This window comes from Homo sapiens, chromosome 2 (assembly GCF_000001405.40).
Source record: "Homo sapiens chromosome 2, GRCh38.p14 Primary Assembly".
NCBI lineage: Eukaryota > Metazoa > Chordata > Mammalia > Primates > Hominidae > Homo > Homo sapiens.
The window spans coordinates 171,542,144-171,569,333 of NC_000002.12; the positions used below are offsets into that span (position 1 = coordinate 171,542,144).

At 39.4% G+C, this 27,190-nt stretch overlaps 1 protein-coding gene across 3 annotated transcripts in view, besides 1 other annotated feature; it reads left to right on the top strand.

The window, feature by feature from the left end:
• The window catches only part of CYBRD1 (cytochrome b reductase 1), a 35,897-nt gene extending 19,911 nt beyond the window's left edge, over positions 1-15,986 (top strand). For all 3 annotated transcript variants that reach the window (NM_001256909.2, NM_024843.4, NM_001127383.2), the window contains 2 exons: positions 11,203-11,357; positions 12,381-15,986. In NM_001256909.2, coding sequence (NP_001243838.1) covers positions 11,203-11,357; positions 12,381-12,684 — 459 coding nt within the window. In that variant the 3' untranslated portion in view covers positions 12,685-15,986. The remainder of the gene's footprint in view (positions 1-11,202; positions 11,358-12,380) is intronic.
• Positions 25,764-25,935: a silencer, noted in NCBI's record as "fragment chr2:172424417-172424588 (GRCh37/hg19 assembly coordinates)". NCBI's record gives its function as "represses an EF-1alpha promoter that drives an FKBP-Casp9 reporter gene in an ReSE screen in K562 erythroleukemia cells {active_cell/tissue: K562}" and the evidence as "EXISTENCE:reporter gene assay evidence [ECO:0000049][PMID:32094911]".

Genomic DNA, 27,190 nt, shown 5'->3' on the forward strand with positions numbered 1-27,190 from the left:
GTGAGCCACCGCGCCCAGTGACTGTAAATGTTTTCTAAACATTCTTTACATTTGTTTCTATTATAACTATTTTCCCCTCAGAGAGCACCAGAATTGCAGAATTCACAGAACAAAATAATAAGAAATAAAGATTTCTTATACTGGATATGACTTTTAATCTGGATTCTCTAAAAACCAACTTATACTCTGCTCTATATCTTAATATGTAAAATTAAGAAATATCAGGCTGGGCATGCTGGCTCATGCCTATAATTCCAGCATTTTCGAAGGCCGAGGTGGGAGGATCATTTGAGCTCCGAAGTTCAAGACCAGACTGGGCAACATAGGGAGACTGTCTCTACAAATAAAGGAAAGACAGAGAGAGAGATCGAGAGAGAGAGAAATCAAGAGAGAGACTGATCTAACAATTAGCAATAAAGAGAATACCTATTTAAAAATCTGTGGGTCCTGGCTGGGCATAGTGCACTGCTCACTCCTGTGATCCCAGCACTTTGAAAAGCTGAGACCAGTGGATCGCTTAAGCCCAGACGTTTGAGATCAGCTTGGGCAACATGGCGGAACCTCATCTCTAAAACAAAAACACAAAAATTAGCTGGGCAGGGTGGTGCACACCTGTTGTCCTGGCTACTTGGGATGATGAGGTGCACAGCTCCCTTGAGACCAGGAGGCAGAGGTTACAGTAAGCTGAGATTATACCATTGCACTCCAGCCTGGGCAACAGAGCCAGACCCTGATCTCAAAAAAATAAATAAATAAAAATCTTTGGGGTTTAATTAAAATGGTTCCCAGAGGAATATAGGCTTAAATGCTTTTATTATATTTTTTGGAAAGAAAACTTAAAATACATAAGCTATTTACTTAGGTAACTATAAGGGAACAGCAAAATATACCAGGAAAAGTAAATCAATAAAGGTAAAAAAAAATCCATAAATAATTCATTTTCTATTGTGGTAACCAATTACCACAGACTTAATGGCCTGAAACAACATAAATTTATGACCTCACAGTACCTGTACATCAGAAGTCCAGATTGGCTTGTCTGGTTTCTCTGCTCTGGGTCTAACAAGGCCAGTATCAAGGTGTCAGCCTTCCAGGGCTCTGATTGGGAGACTAGGGTAGAATCAGCTTAAAGCAAATTCAGCTTGATGGCAGAGTCCAGGTCCTTGTATGTGCAGGACTGAGGTCCCTGTTCCCTTGCTGGCCATCAGCTGGGGCTGCCCTGAACCTTGGAGTCCTCTCTTCCTTGTACCCGGCTCCCTTCATCTCCCTACCAGCAATGGACATCCAGTCCATCTCGCTGGCTTGGAAACTCTCTGACTTCTCCTTCTCCTTCCTCCTCATCTCTTCTCCTCAACCAGATAAAGTTCTTACCTACCCCAACCCCTAGAGGTTACCATTCTCCCGGTGTTTATTCTCATTCTCTGCTTTTTAAAATACTTTAATCACATACTGTGAATCAATATATTGATTAAACAAGATGTTTAATTAAATAATATTGATTAATTAAACAAGATGTTTAAATATTGATTAATTAAATCATATATTGTTTAATTTTGCTTTTTAAATGAAACTTTTTTTAAAAAATGGTCTCATATATATTCTATTGCAACTTTTTTTTAACTCTACTGATTAAACTGTATTGATTCCTCTGGCTATAGTTCATTCATTTTTACTTTTGTATTCCACTGTATAAATATGCCACAAATTTACTTACCTGTTCTCTTGCTATTTTCAGTTAGAAACTATGCTGCATTGAATATTCATATATACATCTCCTGGTCCTCACATCTAAAGGTTTCTCTGGGCATATACATAGTAGTGAAATTACAAGCTCAACCTAAAAAGATAATGCTAAATTGTTTTCCCAAGTGATTGACCCAGATTATATTCCTGCCAGAAGTTTATGAGTTCCCATATCCTTACCAGCTTGCACCCTCTTTAAACTTTAAATCCTTGCTAAACTAGTTGGTACTTAATGATGTATTCTTGTAGTTTTAATGTTCATTTCACTTGTGTTTTATCTTCTAAGACACACCTGTTTGTGTCTTTTGTCTATTTAAAAAATGTTTCTCTTTTTCTTAAAGATTTATAGGAATTCTATATCGAATTCTTTTTCATTTATATATATTGCTATATCTTCTCCTAGTTTGAAGCTTGCATTTTCTCTGTTGTTAACATCTTTTGATAAACAGAAATTGTCAATTTTAATGTAACCAAATTAATCATCTTTTCCTCTGAGACTATCATTCTTTGTTTTGTTTTCTTTTGGTGACTTGTTTATGAAATTCTTCTCTACCCTGAGGTCAAAATATCATCTTATGCTTTCTACTAAGAGCATTAAAATTTTGTCTTTTACTTTTCTACTCTAGTACACAGAAAAAACAAACCAAAAAAACCCCAACAATATGAAAAATAGTTTTGTCTTTGATATTTAAGTACTTACTTCATCTGGAATTAATTTTAATGTGTGAGGTGATGTGATTCAACTTCATTTTTTTCCAGATGGGTAAACTATCTTCCCATCACCATTTATTGAATCATCTCTGCTCCTACTATTTATGTACAAAGCCAATTGCATCCTATAGAGTATCTTATCCTCTGTATCCTAGCCAGTGCAGTACAGAATTCAAGTGTGTAGAAGTACTGAAGTATGTAGAAGTGTATAGAAGCCATAAGAAGTAGAGAAGTAGAGAGAAAAATCTTTGACTTTTGGGGCCAGGCACAGTGGCTCATACCCATAATTCCAGCACTTTGGGATGCCTAGGTGGGAGGATTGCTTGAGCTCAGGAGTTCCAGACCAGCCTGGGAAACATGGCAAAACCCCGTCTGTACAAAAGATATAAAAATAAGCCAGCTCTGGTGGTGCACACCTGTGGTCCCAGCTACTCAGAAGGCTGAGATAGGAGGATTGCTTAAGCCTGGGAGGTCAAGGCTGCAGTGAGCTGAGATCCCACCACTGAACTCCAGCCTGGGTGACACAGCAAGACCCTGTCTCAAAAAAAAAAAAAAAAAAAGAATCTTTGACTATTTTTTATTTTAAAGAGAATGCCTGCCAAAGGCTAAAAAAGAATTAATAAATAAAAAGAATGCTTCTAATATTTTACCATTGAGTACAGATGCGTCACATTTCCTCCTACCCCTGTTTGTGCAAAGGTTTTGTTTTTCTTCTTAAATCATAAATGGATGTGGAATTTTATTGAATGCTTTTGCTATCTCTGCTGAGATGAATATACCTTTTTTGTTTTTTTTTTTTGAGATGGAGTCTTGCTCTATCACCCAGGCTGGAGTGCAGTGCTGCCACCTTGGCTCACTGCAACACCTGCCTCCTAGGCTCAAGCAATTCTCCTGCCTCAGCCTCCCGAGTAGCTGGGATTACAGGCTCGTGCCACAACATGTGGCTAATTTTTTTTTTTTTTTTTTTTTTTAGTAGAGACGGGGTTTCACCATGTTGGTCAGGCTGGTCTCGAACTCCTGACCTCAAATGATCCACCCGCCTCGGCCTCCCAAAGTGCTGGGATTACAGGTGTGAACCATCACGTCCGGCCAATGTTTATTTATTTTTTAATTGATGTATAATAATCATAACATATTTTTGTGGTACATATGATATTTTGATAAAAGTATACAATGGGTAATGAACAAATCAGGGTAATTGGGATACCCATTATTTCATTTATCTTTACTTTGTGTTGGGAGCATTCCAGTTCTTCTCTTCTAGGTATTTTGAAATATACAATAAATTATTACTAACGGTAAACACCCTACCTTAAGTTTTCTTCTTTAACATCTTAATGTAGTCAATTATATAAATATATTCTATTTTTAAACTTGGGTGAGTTAAAAACATATTTGTCTCAAAATTCTCTTTTGCTGTCTGAAATATCCAGATTCATATCTCGCGTTGTTGTCTTTGTGCTAACCGAGCTTCTCAGAAATATTATTTCACAACTTCATGGCTTTGCTTAGTGGGAGGAATTTTGGCACCTGGCTTCTTCCTTGCTCAGATCCAGAGGACAGGTAGTGTTTAAGAAAACAGGATTTGCAATTAGGAAGACCTCAGTTTGGATTAGGTTCATCCATTTGATAGTTGGTGACCGTGGACCAAGTTACTTCTCTGAATTTCTTTTGCACAGCTATAAATCAAGGATTATAATCCTTCACAAAATCATAAGAATCAAAGCCAAATAATGCATCTAAAGGTCCAGCCCAGGGCTTAGCACACTGGTATAACACAAACTAGCTGTTGTTATTATAAGTGTAAATCCTGTGGTATGCCCCTTTATGACCTGCAGATGACATTTTCCACTTCTACTATTGATCATAGGTACCTTCATGGTTAAGAACATGCATTTTTTGTCATTGCAATTTTATTCCCAAATCTATTCATATATTCAGCAGTGAACCGAATACCCGTTATATGCCAGATACCTTGCTAGGCTGGGCTGTGGGTGATACCTGTTCCACAAGACAAATGTGGGCTCAAAGAGACATGCTCTCTGCCCTTGTAAAGCTTGCAGGGAAGATAGGCAATTGAGTATTTGGTAGATAGGAAGTGTTCTGGGAGGCCTCTCATATAGTATGTGAGAGCTCTCATATAGGGGATAAAGGAAGTCACACCTCACACCAAGACCTGAAGCCACACACCTGGTGTAGAAAGGGCGGAGAGTCTTCTAGGTGGATGGAATAGCATGTGGGGAAGAGTTTGTGGTATTTGAGGAGTAGGGAGGAGACCAGGCTGTCCAGAGCAGGGCATAGAAGATGAATTGGAGGCTGGACAGGTATAATTATAGGGAGACTAGCTTGCAGGTGTTTATGGAGTTAAGATGAGAAACAATGGTGGCCTAGAGGAGTAGCAGTAGCAATGTAGCAAAGTGGATAGATTCTAAAGATATTTAGCAGGTAGAATTAATGCGTGATGTAAAGAATGAGAGAGAGTCACTCACAGGCTTTATTGAGCAGGTGGGTAGCCACAAGTTTGAATAAGTGGGTAGATGAGAAGGGAAACATTGGAGGGGAGGAGAGGGCTGGAGGAGTGTTAGATGCTACTGAGGAGATAAGCAAAATAAAGTCTGAAAACTGATCATTAGGCTTAGTAACCTGGAAGTCACTAATGACCCCAGAAAGCAATTTCCTGGCTTCCTTCCTAGGAGCCAGACTGCAATGGATTGAAGAGGGAGCAGAAGGTGAGGAAACAGAGTGGTAACTCAGTCAAGAGGTTTGGGTGAGAGGGGAGGAGACAGAGAGGGTGACAATTGGACAGGGGCAAGAGTCCAAGGAGGCATTTGGGTGCTCTTTTTTTTTTTTTTTTGTCTACTTCTGCTTTTTATTGTGAGAAGTTTGGGCTTATGGAAAGGCTAACAGGATGGCACCAGTAAAGAAAGAGACACTGTGAACACTGGAGAGACACAGTGATGTATAGCTAGGTCCTTGGGAAGCAGGTCACAGAGCACAGCTGAAAAATTGGAGGACATAATCTCCAATGTAATTGAAGAAAAGAATTGTTGGCTTGGGGTGATTTCTTGCTTTGTTTTGTTTGGTGGCAGGAAATTGAGGCTCTTCTCTGAAGTTGCTTCTGTTTTTCCCATGAGGTGATAGTAAAATCATCCCCCAAGAGTAAGGAGGCACATCGGAGAGTCAGACATTTGAGGATGGGGGAGAATGGAGAGCTCATTGATAAATAAGACAATAGAGGTTTGCTGAGCAGGGTTGTTGAACTGCTCATAATCATGAACTTGGAGTGATGCTAGTCTCTGTGGTTGTGGTTTACTCCAGTATTACCTAGCAGACCAGGGGTAGTCATGAAGATGGCTGAGCCAGGGTTGGGGTATTGCCAAGTTGATGTGATGAAAAGACAGTGTAGCAAGGAGATGTAGAATATTGGCAGGAGACTTAATGACCAGTTTGAGTGTCTGTTACGTCCCTTATAAAAAAACTATGGGCATATTGTAGTTGGTGCTGGTTAGATTTATTTATTTATTTATTTTTAATTTTTTTTTAACCCCTGGAAGAAAAGTGTCATTACACTGGAGGAATGCAATTTGGCAATGACCTAAGACAGCGTTTGGTCCCTAGAACAGCAGCATTAGCATCACTAGGGAAATTAGAAAGACAGATTCTCAGCTTCCACCCTAGATCCACTGAACCAAAGACTCGGGCTGGGGCCCAACAATCTGTGCTTTAACAAGCACATAAGGTGATTCAGATTAGTGCTAATATTTCTGAATAATTAATCTAAGAGAAAAGCCTATGAATGGTCAAAAAGTTGGACATTAACAGTAATATTAATGAAAATAAATGTGAGTTCTTTAACATTGGGAGCTTGTCTGTCTTGTGTAGCATTCCCAACACTCCGAACATCTGGGTCATAAGAGGGGCAAAACGTATGTGGAATGAAGGACTGAATGAGTTTATAAAATAGTACAAAGATGAAGGAGAGCTGGGAGGAGCTTCCATATAATAATCTACAGTTTACTTGAAAGCTCATTAAATCTACCTGTACCCTAAAAAAAAAAAAAAAAAAAAAGCAAACCATACCTACTACAAAAGCTAGCCAGGTAGATATTTTCTGGTCTCATTAATGTCTTTTGCAATAAGAGCTTTTGTTATGTCTAAAAGCTTACACACACTAAAAAAAAAAAAAAGAAAACAAAAGAAAAGAAAAAAAACCAACCTCAGGCCAGACATGGCATGGTGGCTCACGCCTGTAATCCCAACAATTTGGGAGGCCAAGGTGGGAAGATCAGTTGAGGCCAGGAGTTGAAGACCAACCTGGGCAGCATAGCAAGGCCCTATCTCTGTAAAAATAAAAACAAAAAAACTCATCTGTTTCATAAAGTGAGAAACTGCCATAGTAGTATACATTTATATCTTTAAGAATAGTAATAATTAACTGAGAAATGCCCAGGCATTTAAGATGGAAACTTTATTCTATTCTATTCTATTTATTTATTTATTTACTGAGACAGCGTCTCACCCTGTCGCCCAGGCTGGAGTACTGTGGTGCAATCTTGGCTCATTGCAACCTCTGCCTCCTGGGTTCAAGTGACTTTCATGCTTCAGCCTCCCAAGTAGCTAGGATTACAGGCCCATGCCACCATACCTGGCTAATTTTTGTATTTTTAGTAGAGAAGGTGCTTCACCATGATGTCCAGGCTGGTCTCAAATTCCTGGCCTCAAGTGATCCACCCACCTCGGCCTCCCAAAGTGCTGGAATGGCAGACATGAGCCACTGTGCCCAGCCAACATGGAAACTTTAAAAGTAAACTTTTATTGTCTATTTCTAATTATAAAAGTAATACACATTAATGTTAAAGTTTATAAGATGTAGAAAGATATAAAGAAAAAACCCTGGCTATTCTGGGCACACTGCCTGTGGGGTATTCCTGTTCCACAAGGAGTAGAACCTCTGCTGCTGCTACAAATTAAATAAAAAAACAAAAAATGAAAAAACCCACTGATACTGCCATAATCTAGAGATATCATTAGCTTTTGGCTTATTCCCTTTAGGCTTTTATTATGCCTATGCAAATGTAGATATAGATATTTAATTTTTAAACATAATTGGGTCATACTGTATTTTCACTTTCATCTCTAAGTAATAACTTTTTATGAAAGTTTATTTTTCCTTAGCTCTTAAGAACTTCCACTGTGTTGAAGAACAGCTTCCTGTAGGTGATGATTCCTAAACACTGGGGCACTTTGTTTGCATATAGTTGGCATTTAGTGTGTTTGTAGACTATATATAATGGAATATTCCACTACCTTCTCTTTTGAGGGTTTTCCAGACTGTTTATCCATATCTCTAGAATAATTTGAGTGAATCAACAGCAGTCATTTTCAAACTTCAACATACGTAAGAATCGTCTGGGCAGTTTGTTAAAAATACAGATTCCTGGGCCCTAATCCAGAAATTGGATTTAGCAGGTCAGAATGTGGCCCAGGCATCTTTTTATTTTTTATTTTTTTGTTGTTGTTGTTTTTGTTCTTGAGACAGAGCTTTGCTCTGTCACCCAGGCTGAAGTGCACAATGTCAGCTCACTGCAACCTCCGCCATCCGGGTTCAAGCAATTCTCTTGCTTCAGCCTCCAGAGTAGCTGGGACTACAGGCATGTGCCACCATGCCTGGCTAGTTTTTGTATTTTTAGTAGAGATGGGGTTTTGACATGTTGGCCAGGCTGGTCTTAAAATCCTGATCTCAAGTGATCCTCCTGCCTCGGCCTCCCAAAGTGCTGGGATTACAGCAGGCATCCCTTTAAATGCATGCCTTCTGTGAACAGCACTTCCAGTACTGACTTAGAGAGACAAAAGGTCTTATAATTTTCGGTCCACTAGGTTATAAATTATCACCTTCACTTGTAAGGTAGTAAGATTAAGATAGTTAAAAGGAAATAATGATTATTTATAAATTATAAGTTATTATAAATTATAAATATGCATTATTGCAGCATTCAGAACACTTTTAATCAAAGTTAAGCATTCTGTAATGTTTTTCTTTTCCTTTTAAATGTAATTTTCTTTTGTTGCAAAAAATGTTTAATGGTGAAAGTCAGATTTAGGGTAGTTAAGTTGCTCAGGGATCCTGTAAGCAAATTTCTGACCTCCTACCTGCTTAGACTGTTGAGCCCTACAGGATTGTAAGAGACACACATGACAAATTATGGAGGAAATGAGAGAAAACAGAAAGAATCTTAGGAATGAAAATAGGAGAGCAGGAATGAGAAATATATGTTTCTATGGGTAAGCCACAGAAAAGATATGATGATTTATGGAGATATATTTGTGCTATATCCCTGAGCCCCATTTTCTTTTCCTTTCTTTTCTTTTTTCTTTCTTAGACAGGGTCTCACTCTGTCACCCAGGCTGGAGTGCAATGGCACAATCTCAGCTCACTGCAACCTCCATCTCCAGGACTCAAGCAATCCTCCTGCCTCAGCATCCACAGTAGCTGGGACCACAGACGTGCACCACCATGCCCAGCTAATTTTTTGTAGAGATGGGGTTTCGCCATGTTGCCCGGGCTTGTCTTGAACTCCTGGACTCAAGTGATCTTCCCACCTTGGCCTCCCAAAGTGCTGGGATTACAGGCGTGAGGCACCACACTCAGCCCCCATTTTCATATAGAAAGCACAACATGGACATCAGGAAGCTTGCCCTTTGATACTAATAGAATCACTGAAGTTCACTGAAGAAGATTTAGGAATATTCTGAACCACCAAGAGGGAACCCTCTGAACCATTTCTAATATATTCAGGCATTTTGGTTATTAACTAAATAATAAAATATGCAAACCAACCTATCAAATGCATTTGTTATTACTTTTTAAATATAAATTACAGAATTTATTGTATTAGGATATACTTCAGAAAACAACAGTTAATCTTGGCTATTCTTGGCCCTTTGATCTATGTAAATTTTAGAATCAATGCATCAAATTCCACCAAAAATCTATTAGGATTTTATTTAATCTATAGATGAATTTGAGAACCGACATCTGTATAATACAAGTCTTCCAACTCATTATCCTGAGCCTGTTTTTTTAGCCTTCTCCAAAATATTGCAAAGCTTTATATTTTCTTTGTAGAGTTGTTGTCTCCAACTTATTGCTAGCTCCTTGCTATTAAAAATGGTATCATTAAAAATTAATTCACTTGTTGCCTCTTTACAAAAAGTGCAACTGATCTCAAGTATAAATTTATACCTAGCAAACTTGATAAACTTATGTTAGTAATTAATCTCAAGATTCTTTTGGATTGTGTTTTATAATCTTATGTGATTAATAAGTTTTGTTTCTTTTTCTATCATCATTTTTTTTTCTTGCTTAACTCAGTAGCTGAGACTTTCAGAAAAATGCTGAATAGGAATAGGTGATAAGGGATATAAGACAAATCCCTTCTAGATCTGAGTCATGTCTTGGAAGAGAGCTACTCTGAAATGCCTATAGACCATAAGCAGACTGTGTGTGAGCAAGAAATATACTTTTATATGTTAAGCTCTTGAAAATGGAGCCTGTTAGTTCCTATAGCATGTTCTGTCCTAATATAATCAGATTAAAATAATCATCTTCCATTCCTAGTTTGTTAAAACATCTCATACATGACTGTTGAATCCTACCAATGTTTTTCACCATCTGTTTTGATGATTATATGATTTTTCCTCTGCAGTCTGTTAAAGTGACAAATCATACAAATTGTTTTGTTATCAGTTTCCATTTATTACTACTTGGTATTACACATGAGCTGATTCTCAGTGTGAATTAGGGCGTTGGACCCCTCCCCCTGCCTCCCTTCTTCTGTCTCCCCATTAGCCCTTGGATCTCAATCAAGAAAGCTGAACAGTGATGTTAGTGCTTTCTCCCCACTCTCCTCTCTTTTCATAATTGTTTTGCTAGGATGGTAGATCCTAAATAGGCATCTGAAAAAAAATGTTCCTTTAAACTCAGTAATTCAGTAACCACAAAGTCATCTTTATCTTGTTGAAGAGAGGATACTTGATGGGCAAACGTGTGGGGTGACAAAACCGTGAAAGCGCAACAGACTTCAGTTTATATAGGAACCTTGCTGTCTTCTCTGCAAAGAGGTATCCCACTAGCGATTTCATTATCAAGGAAATGAAGACACCTTTTCTGCAGAATTCATTTCTTTCTCATAAAACAAAAATCAACTTCATTCCACATAGCTTTTTAGGTTGAACTGACTAAATTCTGTGTCCTAATGTACTCGGTTTTAGTGATTTAAAAAATCTTTTCCTTCCCTTCCTACTTAGCAACCTTAGGAGATTGGTAAAAACAAACAAGTAAGTACCAGAATGTTCACTATAGTCGGATTAAGGATAGCAAAAACCAAACAGAAACATCCATAGAGAACTGTATAAATAAATTGTTATAGCCTTAGGATATTAGCCATTAAAAGGAATAAATTAGGTAAATGTATAGGTATGAAAAAGATTTCCAAGATATTCTGTTAAGGGAAAAAAGCAAGATGCAGAACAATATGTATAGGGATAATAAATTTTCTGGAATGATCCATGAGAAGGTGATAAAAGGGGTTACATTAGGTAGTGGAACTGGAGCGAGGAAACTTCATTTTCTACCCTTTGGTTCTATATGAAAGGTTTTGTCATATTACACATATTGCTTTTTAAATAATTTAAAATTAGTTTAGAACTTAAAATTAAATGATAACCTTTGCACTTTTTGGTGTTTAGCTTCTTTCAGGTTTTTCAGTCTTTCTGCTTCCATGGGCTCCGCTTTCTCTCCGAGCATTTCTCATGCCCATACATGTTTATTCTGGAATTGTCATCTTTGGAACAGTGATTGCAACAGCACTTATGGGATTGACAGAGAAACTGATTTTTTCCCTGTAAGTTGCATAGTCTTCTTAATTGTAATACTTAAGCCACAAAATGTTAAATACTTGTTCACTGGGAAAATGTAATAAAAATATAACAAAATTTTTTAGATATTAAAATTAAAAAATATTTTAAAGAATTTGTTATATCATATAGGTAATATGATATTACTAAAAGTTTAGAAGGACCAAAAAGTCTGACAAATTGTATTACTCTTATGAAACAACTATTGAAGTTATACATTCCCTTTCAATCTTGTTGATATGCATGTTTTTATATTAATTGTAATTATAGTGTACATACATTTTTGTTTCATCCTTTTTAAAAATTTTAAGTGATAACTGTTACTGGTGGAGGGTGTCCAGGTTCTTGGCGTTTTGAACAAAGAAGTGGACAAAACACACAAACAAAGCAAGTAAAGAATGAAGCAACAAAAGCAGAGAGTTACTGAAAATGAAAGTACACTCCACAGGGCGGGAGTGGCCTGAGCAGCCACTCAACGGCCCGATAGGGAATCTTCTTGGGTCCAAATAGCCCCTAGAGGTTTCCCATTGGCCAGTTGGTGTTCACTGCATGTAAATGAAGTGGTGGCCTGCAGTCAGTTTGATTGGTTGTAGAAAGCAACCAATCAGAGATACTTTCAATTTTCCATCCGCCATGCAGAAAAGCGGGGTTTGCAAAGGGAGTAGCCTCGGGTCCTTTTGCTACTTAGATGTGGAAAGTTGGGGTTTTCCTTTTGGTTTAGTTCTAGGAAGTCCGTGTGAATTGACCTGAGGTTGCCTGCCTCCAGACCCTACCTGCCTTAAAACAAGTGTTACAGATGCTATATTATTTTCATATTTATTATTTTTAAATCAATTTCATTATATATTCCCGAGTGAATTGTAGCATAATTTATATTTCTCCTTAATAGCAAGCTTTGAGAGTTTACATTGAAACTGTACTAGTGTGCATTTTGAGCAGATAAATTCAAGACTGTTTTGCATGTTGCTGTATCATCCTGTTTGTAATTGGATACATCTCTTATTTCATAGGAGAGATCCTGCATACAGTACATTCCCGCCAGAAGGTGTTTTCGTAAATACGCTTGGCCTTCTGATCCTGGTGTTCGGGGCCCTCATTTTTTGGATAGTCACCAGACCGCAATGGAAACGTCCTAAGGAGCCAAATTCTACCATTCTTCATCCAAATGGAGGCACTGAACAGGGAGCAAGAGGTTCCATGCCAGCCTACTCTGGCAACAACATGGACAAATCAGATTCAGAGTTAAACAGTGAAGTAGCAGCAAGGAAAAGAAACTTAGCTCTGGATGAGGCTGGGCAGAGATCTACCATGTAAAATGTTGTAGAGATAGAGCCATATAACGTCACGTTTCAAAACTAGCTCTACAGTTTTGCTTCTCCTATTAGCCATATGATAATTGGGCTATGTAGTATCAATATTTACTTTAATCACAAAGGATGGTTTCTTGAAATAATTTGTATTGATTGAGGCCTATGAACTGACCTGAATTGGAAAGGATGTGATTAATATAAATAATAGCAGATATAAATTGTGGTTATGTTACCTTTATCTTGTTGAGGACCACAACATTAGCACGGTGCCTTGTGCAGAATAGATACTCAATATGTGAATATGTGTCTACTAGTAGTTAATTGGATAAACTGGCAGCATCCCTGGCCTGTTGTCATGCAGTCATTTCCTGTTAATTCTGGGAGACAATGATTTCACAACTAGCGGGAAGCAGTCCTAAAAGTTTAAAATCCGATAAGGAATATCTGGGACAGGGTTTAGATCATGACTCTACACAGATACCATGATGAGAGTATATTAAAGAAATTTAGGAAAGCACCTGGTTCCTTTCTCCCCATGCCTGCCTTCTGCTCCCTCCCCAGCTGGTTTGGGCTCAAATTGTCCCTGGAGACTAGGGTTTATGTTAGGGTATTGATAGATTAGAGCAGGTGGTTGAAGAGATCTTCTCTGGTCAGACTTGGAAGAATTTCCAAAACTGAAGTTAGCCCCAAGACTTCCCTAGGGTTGATGTACTTTATGATCCAGATGCTAAACTTCTTAGAATGAAAATATGCTTCAACACTTAAGTAGCATACACTGCCCTACAAACCTCAGAGAGCACTTTTCCCCAAGTTCTTGTTTTTATTTTTGAAAGTACTCACACAGCACTTACTATGCTCCAAACACTCCTCTAAGCACTTTACACATATTAGCTCATTCAGTCCCCAGACAGACGGGATGAAGTAGGTATTGTTACTGTTCCCATTTTACAGGTGAGAGATTTGAAGCCTGGGGAGGCTAGTAACTCACCCCAAGGTCACACGGCTCATACATGGTGGGACTGAGACTCAGATGCAGGCAGTCTGGCACCTCAGTCTGGATTCTAACCATTTCACTAAGCTATTTTTGTCTTGTACTACTTTGACCCACCCCTGAATAAACCTCAATTGCTGGAGTGGGGTGTAGTTATTAAAGGGATGCTTTTTACCTTTTGCTGTTTGCTGTGGCAGATTCCCCAGATAACCAAGGAAAAGGGGCCACCCATACCTGGAAATAGGCCATAGGGCCCCTACTACTGCCAACAAGCCATGGCCTACCTTGACACTTGTTTGATCTTAAAATTGTGTCTTGGTAACAAAAGATTTGGACAGGCATATCTGTAGCTTTCAAGTTAATTAATTGCAATATTTTTTTCTTCAGGATTTTAGCTGCTGAACAACTTTCAGTTTGGAGCTAAAAGAGACCTGTCTCATGGTCTGCCCTTCCCTGGGGCAATAGCTAGGGTCTTTCCTGATTTTTATGGAATTTTAGGGGATATTTTGAGCTTTGGGTTCTCAGTAGTGAATTGAGACTTGGAGGTGACTTTTCATGTTTGGAGTATCATCTCTGTCTGGGATCTGGGCTGACAAATTAAAACCTAGAGTAGTGCTTATGCTGAAATGATACTTTTCATTTTTTGGTTGATTTTTTTGCCTTCCCTTCAATTTTAAACTGAAGCATTTTAATATGGGTAGAAACTCTACACCAAATACACTAAACATTTTGGTGCTTAGTGGATTTCTTTTTAGGTAACTGGTACTTACTTCCAAAGACTGAATACAAGCCACACTCCATCATATCCCTTAAACTTCATGAAAAACCATTCAAGATCCCCTTGCTGCAACACTGTTCTCTTCTTCTCTACTAAATTCTATTTCCAAAATTGGTAATAGAGCCAGAAGGATCCCCAGTACCCAGCCCTCTGCCTGGCACAAAGTGGTAGCACAATTAAATTCAGTATGGGTGGAGCATGGTACAGTCTTGGTGCCATAGAAGGAGTAGTTGCATAGTCACACATCATTTGATAAGTTGGATGTTCCATTACATAGAGGAACACAAAATTCCAGGGTTTTTGGAGGAAGGGATTAGATAGTGACTAAGCCGCCAGAATTGAGGTGGCCATTCCTTTTTGTATAGGCTAAGAAACAGGTTATCAGTGAAAAGTTAATTATGGCTTTGGCACTAGAATAGCACTGTTGCAAAGTATTTAAGCACCCCCCATCTCAGCCCTTTATTTTATCTTTCATGTGGGCTAATGTGAGGATAATCTTACAGATATTATAGGAATTTCTTTTCTATCTTTATGAAAACAACGTATATAAAATATATCTAGAAAACCTTTGTTTGAGACTCTTATTTAATGGGCTTTTGATTCTAATGATAATTGTACCTTTATCTTTCAAAAGCTGATATTTCCTACCTAAGCATCTCCCGAGAAAAATATCTCATTAAAAAGCCCATAAATAATAGGGGAGAAGAAAGCCTTAGGTATCAATTCCAAAACAGTGATTGAAATTTCCCAAAATAATTATGGCTTCTGTCATCTCCAGAGATAATCTGGCTTGGTTTACCCCATAATCTAATTTCAGAAAAGAAAGCTTTATTTTAACACTCATCTGAATCAACATTAAAGCCTTTTCTCTCAAAGCGTTTATTGAGAAACTCAAATGAATATACTTTTTGAATTACTGTCATCAAAAGTGTACGGCTTCCTGTGCTGCTTGTGTCAAATGGAACCTGCCCTCTAAAGCACTTTCTTTCCTTTACTTGCGTGGTTTCATGTAAGCTGTGCTGTTTAGAAACAACATCTCAGACTTTACAAAGAAATGACAAAGAAGGCAATTGCACTTTTTAAGGGATATCGACAAGCAGTTTCTGTTTTCTAAAGGACAAAATACAGAGTGTGTGTCATTTTTAATTAGATTCTTTCCCCTGCTGAGTTGGAAATTCCAGTGCAGCACTGATTGACCACAGTTGCCAATCTAAAAGCACAAAGACAGAAGTAAAGCTTTATGCTAATTTTATTTCAATATGATAGAAAATTTATCTTGGTATGTCCTTTTTTAGATAACTCCAGCAGGAAACTGTAACTGCTATGTCTTTAGGAAAATGTAGAAGAAAGAACATTATTGTTCTTTAATTCCTACAAGGTACTCGAAAACCTTAAGTGAAAAAGATTTCTATCTTTTTATCTTAGCGCATTTATGGAAAAAATATTAACTATCCTGAATATTTTATAATTTTGTAGGAAAAATATGCATCTATTTTTTCTTGACTTCTTTTATATAGTAATAAAAGTTATTTTGGAAGCTCTTTGTGTGTTATCAATTTGTCTGGGGTAGCAGGGGTAGGCATTGTTGTGAAAGTTTCTTTGCCATGGTTTTTGGTTTGTTTATTTTTCAGCAGAGATAGTCTTTTTTCAGTTTCTTGATTATGTTAACTGAAAAGCCAGACTCTGTAATGTATAATACATATTTTATAATATTTACTATTAATATTATATATTTATATATAATATTTACTATAAATATCATATATTTATATATAATATTTACTATAAATATCATATATTTATATATAATATTTACTATTAATATCATATATTTATATATAATATTTACTATTAATATTATATATTTATATATAATATTTACTATTATTATATATTTATATATAATATTTAATATTTTATATATATAAAATTTTTCGCAGTAAAGAGTTTAATTAATGCAAAGCAGCCAAGCAGAAGGACTGGAGTTATCACTCAAATCAGTCTTCCTGAGGGCTCAGAGGTTAGGGTTTTTCAATGATAGTTTGGTGGGCAGGGGCAAGGGAATGGATGCTGCTGATTGGTTGGGAATGCAATCATAGGTGTGTAGAAAACAATCCTCATGCACTGAGTCCCCCTCTGGAGGAGGGCCACAGGACCAATTAAGTCATGAGTCACAAGTCCAGATGGGGTCAGCTCTTCACTACCTGACCAATCTTAGGTTCTACAATAGTGATGTTATCTATAGGAGCAACTGGGGAAGTCACAAATTTTGTGACCTCTGGCCACTTGACTCCTGAGCAGTAAGAGATTAGAGAAACTGATGCAGGTCAGGGGAGCCCCAACGTGGAGCTTAGCCCATGTAGGTTTTTGGCTTTGCCCAGGAAAGAATTCAAGAGCAAGCCAGAGGTGGAAGAAAACAGCTTTACTGAAGAGGCAGTGTTACAGCACCATGACTGCTCCTGTAGAGCAGTGCTACCCCCTAGGCAGAGAGTAGCCTGTAAAATATTTTAAAGAGGTTTATTCTGAGCCAATACAAGTGTCAATGACCTGGGGAACACAGTCTCAAGAGGTCCTGAGAAAGTGTGCCCCAGCAGTCGGAATTACAGTTTGCTTTTAGATATTTTAGGGAAGCAGGAGTTATAGGGAAAGGCATAAATCAATGCATGGAAGGTATGCAGTGGTTTGCCCCAAAAAGGTGGGATAACTTGAAACAGAAGCTTAGTTTATAGGTGGATTCAGAGACTCTTTAATATGCAATTGGTTAAAGGAATAGAGCTCTGTCTAAAAATTTGGAGTTGGCCGGGTGCAATGTCTCATGCCTGTAATCCTAGCACTTTGGGAGGCTGAGGTGTGAAGATCACTTAAGCCCAGGAGTTTAAGACCAGCCTGGGCAACAAAGTGAAACCGCATCTCTAAAAAAACAAAATTAAGAAGTTATCTAGGTGTGGTGGCATGTGCCTGTAGTTCCAGCTACTCAGGAGGCTAGGGTGGGAGGATCACTTAAGTCCAGGAAGTCAAGGCTGCAGTGAGCCATGATCATGCTACTGCACTCCAGCCTAAGTGACAGAGCAAGACTCTGTCTCAAAAAATAAAAATAAAAATAAAAAAATAAAAAAAAATTTGGGAGTCAACAGAAAGGAATATTTATGGAATAGCAAATTATTCTACGTAGTGGTTCTCTGCTAGGTTTAAGACAAATTTCTGCCCTGTAATAGCTACAATAAGGTCATGAGGATCTGGTAAAACATACTCAAATATCCTACCCAACTTTCTACACCTTGCTGAATTCAGCATCTCCTCTAAAACTCAGATTTTAGAGCTTTTCAGCTCCTGCTTCATCTCCTTTGCCCCTGCTCCCACCACGCCTCAGTCTGGGTGGAATGTTTCTCCTCACAGCATTCAAAGAACTTGGTTCCTGCCTCTAGCCCATCTTTTTTTTTTTTTCAGTTGCAAGATTTAATAGAGTGAAAACAGAGCTTCCATAAAATGGGAGGGGACCCAAAGGGGGTTGCCGTTGCCGGCTCGAATGCCTGGGTTTATGTCCCAATCATTGTCCCTTCCCCTGTGCTCTCACGTGATAGATGATTGGCTATTTCTTTACCTCCTGTTTTAGCCTAATTAGCATTTTAGTGAGCTCTCTTTACTACCTGACTGGTCTGGTGTGAGCTAAGTTGCAAGCCCCGTGCTTAAAGGTGGATGCAGTCACCTTCCCAGCTAGGCTTAGGGATTCTTAGTCAGCCTAGGAAATCCAGCTAGTCCTATCTCTTAGTACCACCTCTCAACAGGAAAACCCAAGTGCTGTTGGGGAGGTTGGCCAAAGACCGCTCTAACTGCTTCCTGCTGAATTGGGACGTAGTAGGGGTCGTGCAATTGAGATTTCCTCGGGAGGCGTGCCTTCGATGTCATTAACATCAGAGCATGGGCTAGCAGGCCGGTCCAGGGGTCCACGGTAGATCTTAGTCATGGACTGCTTCTGGGGCTCCATTTGAAGAACGATTTGTAGTTTTACAGCTTCGATTCTGGAAGAGACAAACTTAACAAGGAGGTTAAAGATACAGGGATTGAAATGTATGGCCTGCAGTGCAGGAGATTATTTCTTTGGCACACTTCACAGGCCCTGACTATCTGCTTGATAGTTTTGAAAAGGCCTGGTCCCATAAATAATGATTTGGCCATCTGATGGGTGCTATCAATGGCTAAGTGAAAGGTTTGGTGAAGGGTTTTAAGTAATTTCCATTGGTTAGCTGCAGGCAAAAGTATTTTCCCTTCTTTGGTGGCTAGCCATCCTGAGGGGAGGAAACTATGTCCCCGTGAGGTTCCCCATTCTATTTCTCCTGCTGAGTACAGAGGGGATTACCCCACACTAGGGGTCCTTCTACAAGCATTTCTAATGGAGGGTCCCACCTTGTGGCTCTTTTGGCTTCAATATCCACTTGGCAGTTCCCTTCCGATGACCCCGACAGTGTAAGACTGCCACCTCTTTAGGTTTCTGTACAGCTAATAATAATCTCCTAATGGCTTCCTGATGTTTGATAGGTGTTCCCTCGGAAGTTAGGAATTCCCTTTCTCTCCATATTGCTGTGTGGGCATGGAGGACTAGGTAAGCATACTTAGAGTCTGTATATATATTTACCCTTTTTCCTTTTTACCCTTTTTCCTTCTTCTAATTCTGGTGCCCAAGTGAGGGCTATTAGTTCTGCCAGCTGAGCGCTAGTTCCTGGAGTGAGGGGATTACTTTCAAGTATTCCATTATCACTGACCACTGCATACCCCGCTTTTCGAAGTCCTTTTTCTACAAAGGAACTTCCATCAGTATACAAGTTGAGGCCAGGATCAGTCAAGGGAATCTCTAGAAGGTCCCCTCGAGTGGTGAAGGTTTGAGCAATTACTTGTTGACAGTTATGTTCTATTTTTTTCTTCATTGCCTGGAAGAAATGTGGCTGGATTAAGAGTTGCACAAGTGTGCAGTCGCAGCACTGGTCCCTCAAGTAATAGAGCCTGATGTTTAAGCAAATGGTTGTCTGACAGCCACAAGTCTCCACACAGTGAGATCTCTTCCCTGTATCATTTTAACTGCTTCAGATACTAAGACTGCTACTGCTGCCACTACCAGTAAAAAATGAGGCCAACCCGTTGTCACTGCATCAGTTTCCTTACTCAAGTATGCCATGGGTTGCAAGCTGGTCCCTCGGACCTGTGTAAGGACTCCTAGAGCTATTCCTGTTTTTTTCTGTTGCATATAAGGAAAAGTCTTGCCCTGTTGGCAAGCTTAACACTGGGGCTTGGTTAGGGCCTTTAGGGCCTGGAAAACCACTTCTGCTTCAGGTGTCCATCTTACTAAATGGGTATTGGCTTTCTGAGTTTTCTTAATTAGTGTATATAATGACCTGGCTATTTCGCCGTACCTGGGAATCCATATTCGGCAGAAGCCTGTTATGCCAAGGAACCCTGTTAGTTGCTTTAGTGTTTTGGAATGAGGATAAGCCGGTATAGGCTGGATACATTTCTCACCAAGGGCAAAACTTCTGGTGAGTGTACTCTTTCTGCAGGAAGTAAAAATGGCCTTACTAAATAAATTAAATTTATGTTCAAGTACTATTTCTTTACAGCACCTGGGAACAAGCATTTCAAACAACTCCTTACCATTTATTCCCCGGGTCCACATCTCTTCTTAAAGGAATGTGGACTTTCTTCCATGATTATCGGCTGTATGAAGAACTGTCTTGGAACCAAGAGAATACATCTTCATAGGATGCAGGCTTCAGGGAGCTAGAATAGAGGAGTGGGGAGCACAAACTGAAAAGGGTTCCCCTCACTCACTACAGAGGCACAACCCGTAAGGCCAGCCATTCTAAGGACAGGCCAATTTGGGTGGGTGAGGATGCTCGATACGGGAGCGGTCCAGGAGCACATGTCTGCCGACCTTTGTTCATGTCAGAGGTAGCCCACAGGGCAGTGCTCATTTATATCACCAATCCATAAGAATACATTTTTGTTTTGTCAAAAAGACAATGTCTATAGAATTATCTGAAACCTGTTTTTTCAGATCTGACTAGAGTGAGTTAGCTATGATCACTTTCCTTCTGGTAGCCACTCAAGGGGCGTGATAGGCGAGTGAGGTTTATAGAGTGAAAGGAAGACGGCTCATGCAGGATTTGGCTGGTGAGTGTTCTATTAGGGTGAGAATTTTGGAAGGAGAAGCTTTCTGATTGACTTTCAAATACAGTTGGCAATCTGGTTGGTATAATATCTACTGGTACATAACTAGGAAATTTCTAGGCTGAGTGGAATAGTATGAGTTTTTCTGTTTCAACGGGAAGAATATCTGGTTGTCAGCCTCAGGGTCAGAACTGTACATAAGCAATCCCTTAGTTTGGTGAATGTTATGGCAGAAATTTAGTCTGAAGTCTAGTCCAAATAAATGTTTTCTATATTCTCATATCTATTTATATGAATCTTATCACATTAAGGCTAGACTGAGACATGTCACAAATTTCTCTCTTGTGGAATGAAGGTGAAAAAGAGAAATATAAGCATTGGGTGAATGTTGAAATGGATAAGTTCTGAGATTCCTCTTAAAGTTTAGATTCTGATGAGATTTCCTGAACAGGTGCCTCTCTTGTGGCTCAGGTACCAGAGGGACTCTGTAGAACTCCAGGGGGCCAGGCCCTAGCTCAGCCCTGGCACACACAGGCAGGCCCTAGAGTAGCCACTAGTGATGAAGGAGGAGGGCAGGAAGCATCCTTGCCCTCCCCAACCCACGACCTGGCTCCCTGTCTCTATCAGCGCTCACATTCCCCATTCAAACCTCTAGGTCTTGAGCAGATTGTAGGAGGTTCTGGCCCAGTGAACTCACCTGGAACACTCAAATGAAGGAAGTAAAAGGGTGTGAGGCAAGAGGAGCAGTGACAGCCTTAAGTGTGAGCTAATTCACCCCAAGAGCAAGCAAAAGTGCAAATAAAACTCAAGGGTGTGGAAAAGTGTGGAGTGATGATTAGGATTCAGGCCTCTCCTTGCCTAGCCTTCCTCCATTCTCTCTCTCTCAACCTCTCACTCTCTCTCTCTCTCTCTCTGTCTCTGTCTCATTTAACAGAGCACTGGATTGCGAATGGAGTGCAAGTAGAGACTGAGAATCACCACTGTAGTGATTGTATCTGTGTGGCAAATCATCTTAAAGATTTCTTGTATTTGGAAACAATGTCTAATAAAGAATGGCCAAATACAAAGTTACACTATACAAAAACTATGTCATCAAAAATTATATTGTTCAAGTGAATAATTAGCAATATGAAAATATGTTCATAAAATATTAAGTGAAAGAAATTGAATATAAAAGAGTTTGTAAATGTGAATGTGCATACACTTTCAAATAACTGGAGGCATAATATACCAAATAGTTAATTAGTTAATAATGGTTATCTTTGGCCTGGTGTGGTGGCTCATGCCTGTCATCCCAGCACTTTGGGAGGCCACGGTGGGTGGATCACCTAAGGTCAGAGACCAGCCTGGCCAACATGGTGAAACCCTGTCTCTACTAAAAGTACAAAGGAAAAAAAAAAAGACAGATGTGGTGGTGCGGGCCTGTAATCCCAGCTACTTGGGAGGCTGAGGCAGGAGAATCACTTGAACCTGGGAGGCAGAGCTTGCAGTGAGCCGAGATCGCACCACTGCACTCCACCCTGGGTGACAGAGCAAGACTCTGTCTCAAAAAATAAAGTAAAATAAAATAAAATAATGTTAAAAAATGGTTATCTTTGAGACATGGTAGGATAATGGGCATTTTTCATTTTCTTCTTTTTGTTTTCTCTGTATTTTCTATAATTAAGTATCACTTTTGTACTAAGAAAAACATGTATTATCGGAATCCCGTCTGCCTCATTGACATCATCCAAATGTTTGCTTAGTCTAATTTATCAAGAAATTGAAGATAATATATTTATAATTGAAATAAATGTTTTCCTAACACCAGGAAAGAGGAACTAAAGCATTTGCCAAGATCCTAACTTGGTCAGATACCGGAATGGCCTGAGGGACTATTTGCTTTGCAGCATTGTTAATCTCCAGATCGCAGAGACATAAACATTTACAAGTCTTCCGAAGGTCATGCAATCACTGGAAGCTGGGCAGTATATACTTGTAAGAACTGGACAAAACAGAAAAATCTGGATTCTTGTAGGAACTCTATCATGGTCCACGGGTGTAATCTTGGGCAAGCCGCTTAATCTCTCCATCTGCTACAAAAAACAGGTCCTTTTATATTCACTCACCAATTAGTGATTGAGGATGTCTTGTGTGCACTGCTCCTAGGCACTGCCTGGGGCTCATGCTGAAAGCTATGAATCTGTTATTTTATAGACTATTGCAGCCAGTTTAATTCATACACCATTTCCATCCTTCAGCACAGAATTACCTACAATTCTCATGGCTTACAACTGGAATAAACCTTTGTAATCTAGGTATCGAGGGCTCCAAAAAAGAGAGACAGTTAGTAGGCTTTGTAAAAGTGACAAAAGAGGCAAAAATGGGACCAGACACAGTGGCTCACAGATATAATCCCAGCACTTTGGGAGGCTGAGGCGGGCCGACCACTTGAGGCCAGGAGTTCAAGACCAGCCTGGCCAACATAACAAAACCCAGTCTCTATTAAAAATACAAAAAATTAGCCAGGTGTGGTGGCACACACCTTTAATTTCACCTACTCCGTAAGCTGAGGCAGGAGAATCGCTTAAACCCGGGAGGCAGGAAGCGAAGGTTGCTGTGAGCTGATATTGTGCCACTGCACTTAAGCCTGGGCAACAGAGTGAAACTCTATGTCAAAAAAAAAAAAAAAAAAAGAAAAGAAAAAAAGGCAAAATAGGGTAAGGAATAGACTGAGTAAAGAGTTAGAGATGGGTCAGAACAGAATCCACTTGGCCCAGATTAGCTTGGAGGGCAGGGAGGAGGGATGAAACCCTGAGCAAAAAGCAATAAGAGAAATTACAGATCACGGTGGTAAATTCCCAAACATGGTGTTTTAAATACCTTATTTACCACAATGTACAATTCATTATTCTTTTCTAGCAACAATAATCCGTACTAGTGTTTATGTGTTTGCTATTATTGCAAGAGAAGGAGAGGTTGAGCAAAACACCTTTGAAGATCTAATACTGTACACAGTGGTTAAGGTCACAGGTTTTAAAAGATATGGGGACTATGGGCCAAAAGCCATAGAGACTGGTTTTTGTTCCATGAAAAAGATGACATAAACTAAACATGATCATAAAAAACACCATAGTGTCCGGAAAAGTTATTTGTTTGCTTCTCAGAAGATATTTCCATACATTGCTAAGCACAATGGTTTGCTCTATTTTGTTTTTGATATATCATAATTTGATTGTCTTTTGTGATCGCACAAAAATTTTGTGCAGTTAATTGTTTTTCCTCATTGTACAACAAAGTGCTCATTAAGAAAATTCAAAGGGCTGTTAGTAACAAACAATTAGAAAGCAAACTATTTGGAAACATGCTCCCATGAGGATATGCACTCACATTTGAACACATATACACACAGATACAGATAAATGCCATCTAACCAAAAGAAATGTGAGGTATTCAATTAGCAAAACTGATCATTAACCAGAAATTTAACTATAAAGCCAAAAATACCTTTGAGCAAAAGTTGGTGAGCACATTTTTTCTTTGTGAGAGACCAAAGAGCTCCATATTATGCAATGTCAAAGAGCTCCCCTCAGCTCAGCTGTCTTAGCCAAACATAGGGCTAGCAAGGTAAAGGTACGTTGTATGTTAAGTTAGATAGAGGGTTGATAGGAATATAGAACCTAGTTATATGCTCTGAAATCAGGACAGAAGGTGTTTCCAGCCATTATGAGAGTTTGATCTGATAAGAGAACACTTATGAACAAAACAAACTCATATTTTATTATACAAAAAATAATAAAGCTTCTTGATTCATAACCCACATGCCTGATGGGCTCCCTTCCTTGTGTCAAGAAGCTAGGAAAGCTCAACTGAGACAATTAATAACATGTCATAGCTTTACATTGCCTTACAGATTGTACATTATATATAATGTATTTAAGTATGTAAAGTACAGTCACTTTATGGTCCCAAGCTTTATCCCTTACTAATTGTGAGAACTTCAGCAAGTTCTCTGAATTATAGCTTATGCATCTATAAAATGGAGCTAAGGATACCTTAATATTGGTGGTTTTAAAACAGGTCCTCAAATTCTTTGACACTCTTTCCCATCAAAAGATAGAACCCTATTCTCCTCTCCTTAAACATGGGCCAGGCTTAGTGACTCACTTGTAAAGAATCGAAGACAAGACTGGTGCAGTGGCTCGTGTCTGTAATCCCAGCGCTTTGGGAGGCCAAGTTTGAAGCCAGGAGTTCAAGACAAGCTTGGCCAACATAGCAAGACCCCATCTCTACTAATAAAATAAAAATTAACCAGGCATGGTGGCACACACCTGTAGTCCCAGCTACTCAGGAGGCTTAGGTGGGAAGATCGCTTGAGCCCAGGAATTCAAGACTGCACTGAGCTATGATCTGCCACTTGCACTCTAGCCTATGCAACAGAGCAAGACCCCATCTCTAAAACAAACAAACAAAACAGGAAGGCAGCAGACAATACTATGCGACTTCAGGGACTAGGTTTCCTAGCTCGCTGTCTCTCTCTCTCTCTCTCTCTCTCTCTCTCTCGTGTGCAATGCTTGCTCTGGGAACCCAACCACCTTGTCATTTGATGGGGAAATCAAACACTACATGTGTATTAATCCATTTTCACATGCTATAAATAAATATTTGAGAGTGGGTAATTTATAAAGGAAAGAGTTTTAATTGACTCACAATTCACACGACTGGGGAGGCCTCAGGAAACTTGCAATCATGGCAGAAGGGGAAGCAAACGCGTCCTTCCTCACATGGCAGCAGGAGAGAGAAGTGCCAAGCAAAGTGGAGAAAAGCCCCTTATAAAACCATCAGATCTCATGAGAACTCACTCACTATCATGAGAACAGCATGGGGGGAAACCAACCCCATGAGCCAATCACCTCCCTCCCTCAACATATGGGGATTACAGGTCCCTCCCTCCACACATAGGGATTACAATTTGACATGAGGTTTGGATGGGGACAAAGAGCCAAACCCGATCAACATGGAAAAGTCACGTGTTGATATTTGGACAACAGTTCTGCATGAGCTCCCAGCTAACAGCCAACATCAGCCAACCGGACACGTGAATGAGTGAGTTTTGAGTTTATTCTAGCCCCCAATCTTTGAACCACCCCAGCTGACACTGAGTTGAGCAGAGATAAACCGTCCCCTCTAAGTTCTTTCCAAATTTTTTTTTTTTGTTTTTGGAGACGAAGTCTTGCTCTGTCGCCCAAGCTGGAGTGCAGTGGCACAATCTCACCACACTGCAACCTCTGCCTCCTGGGTTCAATCTTCACCGGGAAGCCATTTCATTTGCCGTATGAAGAAGCTAGAAAGGAGAAACTTTTATTTTCAAACCCAGCAATTCCTGGCCCCTCTATATTTCACAGTTCTCTTTCACTTCTCTCTTTCTCTTGAAGTTTACTATACTCAGTGAGAAAAACCAGGCAGCTTCTTCAACACTTTTCCCAAAAATCTCCTTAGATAGACGGTTCAGTTAACTTGGTATATTTTCTATTCTCCATGTTACCACAGGTGACAGTGTTGCTAAACTTTTTGCTGCTATATGACAGCTCTCAGTAACATTTTCCTCGCTTTCCCATAAGCCCTAACCAATAACTTCTTCAAGAACCATGAGGTTTCCACTAACAGTCTCTTGAAGACTCTCAAATTCTGCCTGCCACCCAGTCCTGAAGCCATTGCCACACGTTAGCAGTTTTTGCTGTGCTACCAAACTCTGTTCCAGTTATCTATTGCTGCATAACAAACCACCCCAAAATTTAATAAATTAAAACAGTAACAACATCTATTTATTCATGAATCTACAATTTGAGGGCTGGGTGAGGTGGCTTTCGCCTATAATCCCAGCACTTTGGGAGGCTGAGGTGGGTGGATCACCTGAGATCAGGAGTTCGAGACCAGCCTGGCCAACATGGAGAAACCCTGTTCCTACTAACAAAAATTAGCCAGGTGTGGTGGTGTGCACCTGTAGTACCAGCTACTCGGGAGGCTGAGGTAGGAGAATCGCTTGAACCCGGGAGGTGGAGGTTGCAATGAGAGGAGGTAGCACCACTGCACTCCAGCCTAGGTGACAGAATGAGACCCTGTCTCGGGAAAAAAAAAAATAAAGAAAAATATGGTTCAAAAATAAAGTGAGTTTATTTTTGGGCATGACTATAAGACTCTTTGCTGAGACCTCAGAAAGTCCATAAGGTGTTGTTTCATAGGCCCTTTCAAGCAGACAAAAGGCCTAGCAACTTTTTTGTTTGTTTGTTTGTTCCTTCTTTATTTGTTTTCAACACACCATTGCTGGCTTGAAAGGCCTACAGATCTCAAGGGAATTATTGGACCGCAGCTTTAGGAGAAGGGAGAGAAGGGCTAAAGGAGATTTATTGGTATGGGTTTTGCCTAATGGAGTTAGTTATAAATTGATTAATAAGAAGACTATATATACATATTTTAAAAGAATTAGAATTAGCTTGGAGTGAAAGGGACATTCAGGCCTTTGGATTCCAGGCTTCTAAGAGCAGGAAGCAATCTAAAAAGACTGTCACTCAGCTGCAAACATGGGCTACTTTTTTTTTTTCT